At 50.6% G+C, this 13,983-nt stretch overlaps 1 protein-coding gene across 22 annotated transcripts in view; it reads left to right on the top strand.

Annotated features, from left to right (window-relative positions):
• FAM156A (family with sequence similarity 156 member A) overlaps positions 1-13,983 on the top strand; it is a 48,219-nt gene that overhangs the window by 27,296 nt on the left and 6,940 nt on the right. For 2 of the 22 annotated variants that reach the window (NM_001242496.2, NM_001242494.2), the window contains exons 2-3: positions 11,831-11,904; positions 12,931-13,023. The gene's annotated coding sequence lies outside the window, so the exon portion shown is untranslated. Of the gene's footprint in view, positions 1-386; positions 4,094-9,605; positions 11,905-12,930; positions 13,024-13,983 lie in introns of those variants that run through there. The other 20 variants (NM_001242497.2, NM_001242495.2, NM_001242493.2 and 17 more) reach the window with 19 other exon arrangements.

The raw sequence follows: 13,983 nt of genomic DNA, 5'->3' as shown, positions 1-13,983 counted from the left end.
CTTCACTCCCTTGCGAAAGATCTGCAGGTGCCCTTCTGTTCAGGGCCACAGAGGGCAGAGAGAAGCCAGGTGGCCGCCGTGCCTCCTGAGTGCACTTGCCCAGGAGGCTGAAGCAGACTTGCTCAGGGCGGATGAAGAGGGTGTGGACAAGCAGTCCCAAGGTTGGGGGAAGCTTCCAGCACTTTCGTAAGCAGCACAGGTTCATGCTCTTATTCCACCGGGGCAGAGACACCCCTTCCCCACACCAGGACAGCAGCACCTCAGCAGGAGGGCAGCTGGGGCCTTAGGGGCACAGGGTTCCACCTCATGATGGCATGAACCCTCCAAACCTAGAATGGATCCCCATTTTGATGGGTAAAGGGCTCCCCTGTGTGCCTGGGCCAGCTCCTGCCCTCCTGGATGTGGCCTAGGCCCAGAAACAGCCTCTGAGGGCAGAAACCGGGGTCTCCCTTCGCCTGGAAAACAAAAGGTTACTCGGCTGCCTGGGCCCGGGTCCTGAGATCGAGGCTAACTCCGTGAGGACAGAAGGTGTCCAGAAATGCTCTCCCTAATCCTCAATCCCTCCCCCACCTCATTGCTCCCTTTGACTCTGTCTGTCTCTGTCTCCCTGTGTCTCCATGTCTGCCTCATGAGCCTGGGTGATCTCTTGCTGTGACTGCATCTGACACGTGTCCTGTACCAAGTGACTTTTTAGGTGTCTCCAACGCAAGATGTCATTCTGCTGAGCTTTTTCAGGCTCTGTGCCCAGATTCTGAGGCCTCTGACCAATTTGGAGGGTAGCGTCCCAGGTCGGCAGGTCTCTGAGCTGTGGAGGGCTTGTGTCTGGGGTGACAGTCCTCTGGGCTGATCAGGGTTCTCTCCCAGCATGTGAGGTGTCTGATCTGCTTTAGGTATTGTGTCTAGAATGCAAGGCATGGGAGCAGTTCTGATTTCAGGAAGTAGGGTTTGAGCTCTCCCGAGTGTCTGTGTCAATGATAGGACACAATAGCGCCCCTTGGGGCTCCATATCCTAGGTTGTGAGAACACTGAGGTTATTCCAAACTCACGAAAGGTGTCTGATCCTTTTGGGGTCCTGCGTCCTGAGTGTGTCCTCCCTACCCGGTTATGAGTCTGCACCGCAGGGGTTGAGGCTGCTGACATGTTGAGGAGTTGCTGTGTCTCAGGTTGTAAACTCTGTGCTGTGTGGGAATGGTGTGTCCCACACTCTGAGGTCTCCTAGGTGTTTGTTGCAGGGAACATTGTGCCCAAGGCCTCTGTGTTCCCTGTCCCGGTCCCCTCAACTGTTTCTGTGTCCGCATCTCAGGGTGTGCGCACTGTGGTTTTGTGGGCTTCTGGGTCCGGGCTGTGAGGTCCGTGAGGTAATCCGTTTTCTACATCACAGGTTCTAAAGTTGCTCACACGCACGTGGGTCTGAATTTTAGAATCTGATGTCTCTGAGCAGGTTTAGTGTCTGTGTCCTCCTTCACTGAGTTCTTGGAGGGGTCTGAGTTCTGCGAACTGTTCAGTGTTGTGTGTCCAGGGTTGAGGTCTCTGAGCTGCTTGTTCCTGGGTTGTTGTCTGGGTTTTCTATGTCACTGGGGTCTCTTGGGCTTTGTGACCCAGCCTGTGAGGTCCCTGAGGTATCTGAGAGTGTGTGTGTCCAGGATAGGACGTTTCAGAGCTGGTAGGAGATGTATGTTTTGGAGGGAGGCCTGTTCTGTCTTTGGTTCCGTGTTCCAGGGATTGAAACGTCTGAGCTCTTTGGGAGATCATCTCAAGCATGAGAGACACTGTCACATAGCAAAGTTCAGACATGAGTTGTTTGTGACCTTCTCCTGATATTTGGGTCTCACCCTGTACAGTCAGTGAGAGGTTGTCTTGAGTTGACTTTCCCAGACTCGTCCACTCCAGCCTGCCACAGCCACGCTTACTTATCTAGACCCCTGAGTTTACACGGCCAGCTTCCTTCACAGCTGCCCCTGGGGTTGGAGTCATGCGACTGCTTTGAGAGTCACAGGTCCCCCTCAGCACCACTTGTGGAGATCTCACTGTGCGGAGGAGTTTCTTCTGTGTCTCTGATAAAAGACACAGAGCAGGGACCCTCTCTCTCAGCGATGAACAGGACCTGCCCATGTGTTCCTGGGTCGTGTGGTCTGTCTCCTGCAAGATGTCACTGACACCCAGAAAATAACCTGGACACAACATCCCTCTTGCAGCTCTCCCAGAACACATGCATCAAACCCGGGATCCCCTGTGCCCTGGTGGGATGGCAGGAGTCTCTAGCTGTTTGGATCATCTTCCCAAACCTTAACTTCACCTTTACATGATGAGGATCTACAGAGCGGCATCTCAGCCCTTTCCTGCAAACGCACGGTGCTTCTGAATGCAGAATTCGGGGCTAGGGAAGGGAGGGGACACAGGTAGATGCCATCTGTGGTCAGGGGGAGGTGTGGGCCCGAGACCGTCTCAGCTGAAATGTAGGAGTAATGGGCACAGACCATTCAAGAGAAATGTGTGTTGGGCTGAAGAAAGTAGAAACTACCTCCAGAGTATCTCCTCCATCTCTAAGACATGCACGGTTTAATTCTGTTATTTTGTGAGGCTCTTTGCACCATGACACAAGCATGCATAGAGGGCTCCATCATACAGGGGAGAACGAGACCCTGAATGGTCTCACAGTCTAGTGGGGGAGGCATATGTGTTCCTTCAGGCAACAAATATGTATGAAAGTCTTCTACGTGCCAGGCACTGCTTGAGGTGTAGGGATACCTCAGGGAAGCAAATCAACAGAAATCCCTGCCCTGGATCTGACATTCCCCGAAGAGGACGTGGTAGGTGGCAGACAGCAAACCCTCCACAAGGGAATCTAGGAAACGTTAGAAGTTATGAACCAAAACGTACCCGAGACAGGTCTCAATCAATTTAGAAGTTTATTTTGCCAAGGTTAAGGACGTGCCCCTGACACAACCTCAGGAGGTCCTGACGAAACATCCCCAAGGTCGTCAGGGTACAGCTTCGCTTTATACACTTTAGGGAGACATAAGACATCAATCAATGCATGTACGACATACATTGATTCCTTCTGAAAAGGCGGGACAACTACAAGTTGGCGGGCGGTGGAGGGGCGGTGGGGTCTTACAGGTCATAAGTGGATTCAAAGATTTTCTGATTGGCAATTGCTTGAGTTTATCTAAAGACCTCCAATCCATAGGAGGGAGTGTCTGGGTTAAGATAAGGGGTTGTGGAGATCAAGGTTCTTATTATGCCAATGAAGTCCCGAGGCAGCCGGCTTCAGAGAGAATAGACTGTAAATATTTCTTATCAGACCTTAAAAGTTGCTGGACTCTTGGGAACTAATTCTCTCCTAGACCAGGAAAAAGACCTGGAAAGGGAAAGGGATTCTCTACAGAATGTAGACTTCCTCACAAGAGATGGCTTTGTAGGCCTATTTCAAAATGTGTCAAAGAAATGTATTGTTGGATGAAACACTTTGACTTCTTTCAGGGCCTATTTGTTATGTGATGCTATACTAGTCAGGCTGGAACTTGGTGTCTTATTGCCACAGTCTTAAGATCTCTCCCTTAACATAAATGCTGGTCAGTTGTGCCTGAATTCCATAGGGAGAAGGGTGTAATGACGCATGTCTGACCCACCCTTCCCATCATGGCCTGAACTACTTTTTCAGGCTAACTTTGGAAAAGCTTTGGCCGAGAGGAAGGGTCCATTCAGATGGTTGGGGAGTGGGGCTTAGAATTTTATTTTTAGTTTACAAAGATGATGGGGGCTGTGTTAAAAAGAAAAAATATACAGATCACAGTACAGGGATTGGGAATTGGGGGAGGCACTGGGTTAGCTGCAGGTAAATTATAACAGAGTGACTAGGGTAGGCTGGGTTGAGAAGGTGACAATTTGACAAAGATGTGAAGGGGGAGGAGTCAGTCAAGCAGATATCTGTGGTGAAGGCCTTCCAGACAGAGGGAGCAGTTGGAAAAAAGTCAGAGGCTGAGTCGTTCCAACATGGCGCAGATGCCACAAGGACACTAGCACACCAGCAGGAAGCTGAACAGAAGGCTGGAGGTGCCACGGTGACAAGGACGGGATCCTGTCAGGCCAGGTAAGCTTCTGCTCTGCCAGTGACACGGAAAGGGACAATGAAGGGCCACAGATACAGAAAGCATGTCTGTGCAGCCTGCAGAGTTCAGGTGAAGGAGGGACCCAGGCAGGAGCAGTCAGAACCAGGAGGGCTTAGGCAAGAGACAGGACAGGCAAAGGCACTGATGCAGCCCACCCAGACTTGACAGACGCGTTCATCCAGGTGTTCATGTCCTTGTCACTGTGGACATCTGTGTTGCAGCCACAGAACCACATACTCGATTAGGACGCCTGAACCCAATCAATAGTCGTTTTTCCCTACAGACCCTGGGGGAGGCCCACATGCACTTGCCCTAGGGTACTCTGACATTTTGGCACTGCAGTCCCACTGGGAGGCCACATGGAGTAACATACTGGCCAAGACATATTTAAAAATTCTGGCAGGGTGCGGTGGCTCACACCTGTAATCCCAGGACTTGGGGAGGGCAAGGCAGGCAGATCACTTGAGGTCAGGAGTTCAAGAACAGCCTGGCCAATATGGTGAAGCCCCATTTCTACTAAAAATCCAAAAAAAAAAATAATCCCGGGTGCAGTGACGCACACCTGTAATCCCAGCTACTTGGGTGGCTGAGGCACAAGAATCACTTGATCCCAGGAGGTGGAGGATGCAGTGAGCTGAGATTGTGCCACTGCACTCCAGCCTGGGTGACAGAGCTAGTCTCTATCTAAAATAAACAAATAATTTTGTAGCCTCTTTTACTAGGAGTTCTGGAATTAGGGAAGAGAGGAAAGGTACAACCCTCCTCCCGAACTCCAGGGGAGGAGAATCTCATTGCACAGATGTCCTCTGTTCACTCGATTCTCCTGGAGCATTTCTAAGGCACACAGAGCTGCTACCATCATAGCCATTACTGACCAAGTACTCTGGGTGAAATTCCTTTATTAACTGAATAAACTTGTTCTGAAGTGCTGACCGGACACTCTGGGGACAGGGGGAGGTTTCGGCTGTATCCTTGCTGGCAGATGACCCCCACACTTGGGGGGTAAGGAGAGCCATGGCAGAATTCAACCCACGGTCCCCTAGGAGTACACAGGAGACCACCCTACCCTCACCTGAGGGATGTGTGTGTGCAAGGGTTGGGTCAGGGCAGACTCTTCAGAAGAGGGGAGGTTTGTGCGGCAGGCACTTTGATTCTGCACAGCTTACAGTCCAGAGAGCCGAAGAACAAGAGGAACTAGATTCCCATTCTCAGTCTGTTGATTTCCACACCACATTTGGAGTCTGATCAACTCCACAGCTGTGTTGCAGCCGCTAACGCTGCCTCTGCTCTGTTTGCCTCTAGATTCTTCTTATCTGTTAAATAAAGTGAGGCTGATGGAGATGTAATTTAGGGCAGGGGTGGATTGCAAGTGTCTCTGTGATAGGGCAAAGCGCCTCCCGGTGGAGGCGCAGAAGCTAAACTCGACTGGTAGCTGTGAGGCAAGGGACGCCAGGGCAGCTCCTGTGGACTGTGTTAGAACTTTTCAGGGTGGCTTTGCCCTGCCAGGGGCCTGGATCTCACAGGGGGACGTCGTGTTAGGACCAAGCTGACTGTCCCATCACAGAATAATATCTGCAGCTCAGCATGGGGAGCATAAGCAAAGTACGTTGTCGTGAGTTTAAAGAGGCCTGGCTTTGGAGTCTGACAGAACCCGCGTGTGAGTCCCAGATCCAGCCTTTTCTGCCTCAGTGCCCTGACCTCTTTCAGCTTGGTTCCTTATCTGTAGATGGGAGTTTGATACTTACCTCTCTGGGTCTTTGGGAAATCAACACTGTACATGAGTAGCACACAGTAGGTCCTCAACAACCAGGCTCCAGGGAGAGAGAGCCATTCACACTGTGCCATGTTAGAGGCACATCAGTGTGCAGGCCAGCGTGCCAGGACAGTGGGAGTCCAGTCTACCCTCCAGCCAGGGTTTGGGCTTGGGCTGATGGTGGCAGGACCAGGGCCATTTCCATCTTTTCTCTTTTATTGTCCATATGTCCAAAGCAGACACTTCCATTCATATTCAGGTGTGCAATGCTAGGAGCTGAAATAACAGGCTGTAGTGAATGAAGCGAAGCCTCACAGTTCACTCTATGGCAGGAAGAACCAGCTGTGAGGCAGGTCCTCAGCCCACATCACTTCATGGTACTGAACCTGGGGCCACAGTTCCAAACTCCATGTTCACACATGATGAGTCTATAGGAATGAAGGAGAGATCTATGTTGTGTATCTTTATTATTATGTTTTATTGTATATATTTAAGGTATAAAACATGTTGTTATACACACACACACACACACACACAGTGAAATAATTGCTACAGTCAGGCAAATGAACCTGTCACCTTCCTCAGTTACCTTCCTGCATCCTATTTTTGCAAGTAAACTTTTCCTAAAAACCCTACTCTCACGTGACATTCCAGTTGGTTGGCCCATTGGGGGAATTTTCATGAATCTCCATCATGTGCTATTCAGTAAAAATATCAAACCCACTAAGCATGCCTTTTCATCCAGTTGCTCCCTAGGTAAAGTATAATTTGCTCTCCTTCACTTGAGAGCTGAAGGTAAGGAGCAATCAGGCAGCGGTTGATGGAGCAAGTGCAGGCCAGACAGAGGGAAGGGCGGTTGTGAGGCGGCAGACACGAGAGAGAGACAGCGAGAGAGCGAGCGTGCACGCTAGACAGAGAGAGGCCTGGTAGTAGCTGGGGCCTGATACCCCTAATCCAGGAGGCTGGACTTTATCCTAAGGGCAGCAGGCAGCCCTAGTAGAATTTGAAAAGGTTTGACATGACCAGATTAGCAGTCAAGAAAGGTGCCCCACTCACTGGGACAGAGAATGCGTGGGAAGGGGTCAAGACTGGCAGCAAGATGAGCTATGAATTGTTGGTGGTCATCGAGGAGGGAGATGAGGGTGACTGGACTAGGGAACTTCCTGTGGTGATGGAGAGGAGTCAGTGTCAAGGTCTCACTTAGAAAAACTTGGGAGGTCTAACTGGCCAGGCTCGGTCAACTGTGGGGGTGGTAAGAGGCAGCAATCAAGGATGGCTTTCAAGATCTTTGGCCCAAGCTGCTGGGTAGAGGGTGGTGCCTGTCACTGAGTCAGGCAGCACAGGAGGAGGGGCAGGCGTGCTGAGTGGGGATGGGTGCGTTCACTTTGGGACATGCTGAGCAGTACTTGCTATGGGACTCAACGACTTATGACTTGAAGACTTCGCAGAGCTGACCTAACCTCCCTGTGCTTACCGTGCCTCATCTGTAATAGGAGAATAAGAATAATTAGAAAAAATAACTAATTAGTTTCATTTGTTGAGTCTAGGAGAATGTTCTCCTTTTATACTGCAGAGTGGTATTTTCTTGTCAGGTCTTCCCAAGTAAAATGGGAATGTCTCGACTTGCCCATACAGTGGCTTGATTTTACCTGTCTGCTTTGGGTATCACCACCATTCGGCATGTATTGCCAATACTAAACAAATAAGTAAATACATAAATTCAAAGTAACAGGTGTTTATTATCACGTGTGTGCTGTAATAGCCCATCAGCCTGTCCCTCAGACAAATAAACTCTCTTTAAATCTTCTAAACTTCCTCTTGAAGCCCACCTCTCCCTCCAGGGGCTGGACAGGGCATTTGGGACCCAGGATCTCTAACACTCTCTTCTCTGGGAAGCCATCTCCCACTGCCCAGGATGCTGGATGGGAGGTGAGTGCAACGGGCCTGTGGGGTTGTCAGTTGGCGGAAGAAATCTGTAGATCCAGGGAGAGAATCGAGCCACATGTGTGGATTTGGAAATGACAGTGTATGGCTGCACAGCACGAAGGGGATGAAGTCACAGACACCTGGATTTAAATCGAGACTCCACCATTTATTTCTTGTACGACTTTGGGGAGGTTACTTAATCTCTTTGTGGCTCAGTTACTTCATTTGTAAAATGAAATGATAATATTCTGGGAGAATGGTTCATGTTTCCTTCCTTCATAAACTGCTGTTCACGAGGCGGCTTCTTCCAGGGTTAAAAAGGAATCTACTATCCATGTATCTGCTAGGACAGACATTGTTGCGTGTCACTTGACTCCTGAAATACGCCACGGTAAAGAAATCTCTGTACACTTTCGTGTTCTGGGAAGTCACTGACCACACAGGACCAATTATTCTCCATGAGACTTAGATAAGGGATGCTGTCTTCCCACTCTGTGCCGTGACTCCCAGATGGCAGACACCACCAGTCCTTGTTCTTTTGTCTCATGAATGTGTTGTAACCAAGCGAGTTATAGAGAAACGCCACACTTTTGAGACAAATTAAGGGGACCTTTATTAGCTGGCGACCTACAGGCAGCTAACGCTCAAAATTCTCTCGGCCCCAAGGAAGGGGCTAGTTTTGTTTTTATACCGTGGTCTAAACAGGGGAGGGGGGAGTTTAGCTGAAGCAATTTTACAGAAGCAGAATAGGCAAAAAGTTAAAAAAAATTAATTGGTTATAGAAGCAGTTACAAAAAATAAACAGTTCCAGGTGCAGGGGCTTAAACTATGATTAAGAGATAAATGCAGGGGCTTTTAGGTACCTTCCACCGAGCACATTCCCGAGCTGTTGGTACAGCCTGCCTCAATATCTTACCAGCAGGTGTATTCTTGGATGTGCTTGGACTCAGCTTGCACTAGTTATTCCCTTAAGGGGGATAAAGGGGGCTGCAAGTGAAGAAACTAAAATGGAGTCTGTCCGGCTCTCTCTGCTAGGAAAGAGTCACTCAGGTTAAAACAAGGTAGGGTATCACAAATGATTCACTTAGACGGGAAGTCTGTCCTCCTAAAAGTAGCTAGGCACAGAGAGAAACATTCCCTGTTCAGCTGGCTGAGACTTCCGCTGATTAAAAAAAAAACAAAAAACCCTGCCCCATAAATCTCCCCACTGAAACCGGTGTACTCCTTCCTATGAAAGTAAAAGACACCCCCGCCCCGCCCCGGTTACCCCAACAGTGTGATTTCCACTTCTGGGGCGCTCTCCCTAAGGCAGTAGCCTGAATAATTTCAATGTATTGGATTGTTTGGTTTCTGTCTTTACCAAGGTGCATTTATCATTCATGCAAAAACAGTAAAAAAAAAAAAAAAAAAAAAAAAAAAAATGAAACAGCACGTGTCGGTTCTCAGCGGCGCGCCCTAGCTCAAAACTCCAGCCAATCACAGGAGAAGTCGGCCGCCTCCCAACCCTCCAGCCCAGTTCCCACGTCCCTCGCCCGGGAAGTCACGTCCGCTACAGGGAGTGTCTTCCCATGGCCTCCGGAAGCATTCGGCAGTCCACAAGCCACGCTTCAGAGAAGCCGCTCCGGGAACGCCGCGGCGCACCTCCGGAAGGGATGACCTCCACGCCTTCTCCCCTCGCAGTCCACCCGAGCGGCGTGGGTCGCGAGAAGCCACCCAACCGCTCCGTCTTCCGGCTCCGGCGGTCCGCGGCAGCCAATCAAAGGTTCAGTTTCTCAGCGGCGTCGCATCCCTGTGACGTGAGCACATCCTCGCCGGCGCCCCCTTCCGCGCTGCGGCGCCTCTAGCCCGCCGGAGGGCGGCTCCTCTCGATGGTCTTAACCCTTCAATTACGAGCGGGCGGCGCTGCGTTTCCAGGGCAGAGGAAACGAGGCGCCGCGTTGGCGCTTGGACGGCGGGAACCGGCTCCGGAGCGAGAACGCGCGTGAGAGAGCCCGAGAGAGACGGAGAGCGAGCGAGCGCGCGGGAGAGACTGAGAGCGGGGGGGTGGGAGAGAGACTTCCAGAGAGACAGAGCGAGAGGCCGAGACGGAGGCTGTCCCTAGCACAGGCCAGGGTGTCTTGGGACTCGAATCCCTGGGTTGGGCTGGCCGGGAGTGGGGCTTTCGAAGGAAGCGGGTGATTTTCCACGTCGTCCATATCTCCCCGGTGTGGGAATGGCGGTCGTGCACTCTGGGGGTGGCGTTGTTCTCGTTCCCTACTTGGGGGTGGCCTTTTTCAGCGGAGAAAGAGGATGCCGCGGGCATTGGTAGCCGGCGGGACTACACTTGGGCTAGGATCAGTGTTCAGCGGGTTCAGAAATCACCGTGTCCTTGGCATCACCTCCCTCCCCACCTCCTCTCCCATCGCACAGCAGGAGACAGTGACTGGAGGGTTTTCAAGGAGGACTGCATTGCCCCTATTGAAACAAACCGTCCGACAAACCCTTTCTCCGACGTGTGACAGAGGGACGGTCGTAATGTGAAATACGACTAGACATGCGTTTAATGGGCGGTGTGATTGCTGCATTCGTGCGCAATGAATGGTCCAGGCCATTTGTGTCCAGTAGCCGCACAAGCTGCAGGGTCTCATGTTTAGAGAGGGAGGGCCTCTCCGCCGTCCACCTTGCTGGAGTACAGGCGACCCTGGGCGGTAGCCCTCTCCGCCATCAGAAATGTGGTGCTCTGAGTAGCCACAGATTCCCATCTGCATCTCCAATACCATTTCCCTCTACTCACTGACCCGTTGGGTGCGTTGGATTTGTGCGTGGGTGTGAGGGTAGTTTGGTGTGTTTGCTTGCAAATGGAAAAGCGAATGGCCTTGGTTGGCTGAGCTTATCAGGGCACTAGCAGTGGAGAGAGAAAGGACTACTGTATTCTTAGGAGCAGAATCTCAACAACTTCCTATAAAACGGGCAGTGTGTCTTACCTGGAATGCTTTGGCATTTAATAAAATGTCCTGTGAATACTTTTCATAGGGAAGCACTTTGTTTTTACTGTTTCTGGTTGGACAGTGGTTACATTTCAAATCGTAGTTCAGAATTCGTGAAATACCCAAATTAAATCTCTACGTGGCAGTAATCCATTTTCTTTCCTTGGTGTGTGGTTGGAAGATTAATTTGAGATAAGTGTTCAGTTCTGGGCTGGGCAGTCGTGCCGGGCACGGGAAATTCAGGTTCTTTAAGGGAAAGGCCTGATGTGCTAAGACGAAATCTATACCGTGTGTAGCCGCTTATGAGAATATGAAACTAAGGAGAGCCACAGGTAAGTATACGTCTATGAATGCGAATTAAAACGGGTGACAATATAAAGAGAGATTGGTGTCACAAATGGTGGAGTGACTTTTGTATTTCAGCAGACCTCAGTGAGAAATGGTCACCACCACTCCCTAGATGTGTGACCTTGAGTGAGTTGCTTAACCTCTCTGATCCTGTTACCTCATCTGCAACTGGGGATGAGAATATATATCATAGCATGCCCTGGGAGAAGCTGTTCCTGACCACCTGGGCTATGGTGATTTTGACTTCCTCTGTGTCAGAAGTACCCCCGTCTCATGCCTGCCATAGTTGTCTTTTTGTTTTGTTTTGTGATTTCAGATGGACTCACCCTGTCACCCAGGTTGGACTGCACTGGCCTCAACCTCCTGAGTTCAAGTGATCGTCCCACCTCAGCCTCCCCAGTAGCTGGGACCATAGCTGTGCAGCATCATGCCTGGCTAATTTTTTAAGTTTTTTGTTGAGATGGTGGTCTCGCCCTGTTGCTCAGGCTGGCCTCAAACTCCTGGGCTGAAGCAGTCCTCCCACCTCAGCCTCCCAAAGTGCTTGGATTAGAGGCGTGAGCCACCATTCCTGGCTCCTTGGACAATATTTTATTCCTCAGATTAAGACACGTCCTTGGGATGGGGCTGCATTGGATAATTCACCGAAGGCACCGCTGAATGGAGTGGGCCCTCAGTAAATACCTGGAGGAATGTGACCTGGCCAGTGAGGTTATTTTCTTTTGTAGGTGAAAGGTGTAGCAGTCACTCGGCCTACACCCACAGCATCGACCTTGTGAACCCAGCGACCTGACTGCCTTGGGTGAGTCTAGGCAAGCTCCATTCTCGCCAGAGCGGACTTGCTCCTTGTCTTCCTCTTGCTGCTCTGGCCACTCTTCTTGGTCCCTCCCCTGTTCCCTCCCCGGACTCCCGGTTGTACTCCCGCTGCTTTTCTGTGTACTCACCTGCTGGGAGACCCCTGATGCCAGCACCACGCTTCACTGCTGTCTTCATTTTCTTCTTTCTTTCTTGAAAGTGGGCATTGCTGGCTTTACTGACTACCTGTTCTTTTGTTACAAAGCTGCTAAAAATTGTATCTCTTCCGCTCCAGACCCAGTAGGATAGAGATGATCTGTGTAGGCATCAAAAATGTAGAACATCTGCAAGTCATGTGTAGGACAGACTCTTTCCTCAATCTGTGTGGCGTTGCGTGGCTAGGAGTTAGATTCCTTTGCCATGACATGGCACAAGACTAGGAGCACGGTTTTCAGCACCCAGAGAACTTGCACAGACCTTAGACATTTTGCTGTAGGATTTTGCCACTTCTAGAAAAAAGTCCATGTGGCCGGGCGTGGTGGCTCACGCCTGTAATCTCAGCACTTTGGGAAGCCGACGTGGGCAGATCACAAGGTCAGGAGTTCGCGGCCAGCCTGGCCACCGTGGTGAAACCCTGTCTCTACTAAAAATACAAATGTGAGCCGGGTGTGGTGGCGGGTGCTTGTAATCCCAGCTACTCCGGAGGCTGAGGCAGGAGAATTGCTTTAAACCAGGAGACGGAGGTTGCAGTGAGCTGAGATCATGCCACTGCACTCCAGCCTGGGCGACACAGTGAGACTGTCTCAAAAAAAAAAAAAAAAGTCCATATTTAATTGGGATTATTAAATGAAATCTGTATCTTTAAACTGAAATAAATGCATTTTATTATCTCATATTATTGTGGAAGATTGAAAAAAGCATCACATGGGACTGGCTTAATTTTGAAAAGAAACACAAAGCTCTTCCTGGCGCTCATCTGCAGGGTGTCGTCTGGATTCACTTGCTTAGCTGTTCTCTTTCTCCTTCCGCACAGGAGAATTGAAGCGAATGAGAGTGGGGAGTGTGAGAGGTGCGTTTGGTGCAGCATTTCTGGCATGGGAACAGAACTGGCCAGGAGGAAGTGACGGTAAGGATTCGCAGCATTGCACCCGATCCCCGGGCAGCTGTGGACATGCGGGTCAGCCCCTAGGACTCTGCTGTCTGAACTCTTCCCTCAGGATTACTTTCTCGCTTAGGTATCAGGGGAGGCTGAACACCCAGAGAGGCAATGCCACCAGGGGTGTGTTCATCTGCAGTCAGGGAGACCTGGGAGGGAATTCTGTCCCTGAGTGGTTGTGTGATCTGAGGGAAGTTACTTGACCTCTCCATGCAGGAATTTCTGCCTTTGCAACGTGGGAAAATATGGATTCTGCAGGGTTGACTTGACATTCTCAGTGAGATGTTTATCACGGGCCCCACATCCTTCTTGTTTCATTTGATAGATATTTGTGAATGTCCACTGGGCTCAAGGCTCTGTGATGGGTGAACAAGACAAAGTCCCTGGCCTCTGTCAGCTCCTGGGCTAGTGGGTTGACAGAGAAATAACCATCTGTTGACAGCTGAGTGGGATTGGGGCTGGGACAGGGGAAATACAGGGCGTTTTAGGAGCTTGGAGAAGGCTTCCTGGGAGAAGTGCTATCTCAGCTGAGTCATGCAGGGTGAATGAGAGGTGAAAGTCTTGCCAAGGGCCATGGCAGTCCCAAACTACAGGCACCCATCACTATACCCGGCTAATTTTTATTTTTAGTAGAGATGGGGTTTCACCCCGGTGGCCAGGCTGCTCTCGAACTGCTGACCTCAAGTGATCCACCCGCCTCAGCCTCCCGAAGCAGGGATTACAGGCGTGAGCCACTGTGCCCAGCGTGATTGTAAATGTTAATCATGTCCACAAATACCTTCCCAGCAACAACTAGAGTAGCATTTGACCAAAAGGGACCAGGCACCAAGCCTGGCCGAGTTGACCGATAAAACCATCACAGTGAGGGATTGGTACCCAGAGACATCACCTCTCATGCTGAAGGTCTGACCGGTAAACTGTCTGGGTTCC

Source organism: Homo sapiens, chromosome X (genome assembly GCF_000001405.40).
Source record: "Homo sapiens chromosome X, GRCh38.p14 Primary Assembly".
In the NCBI taxonomy this organism is placed as follows: Eukaryota; Metazoa; Chordata; class Mammalia; order Primates; family Hominidae; genus Homo; species Homo sapiens.
This window is presented reverse-complemented; position numbering and strand designations above follow the sequence as displayed.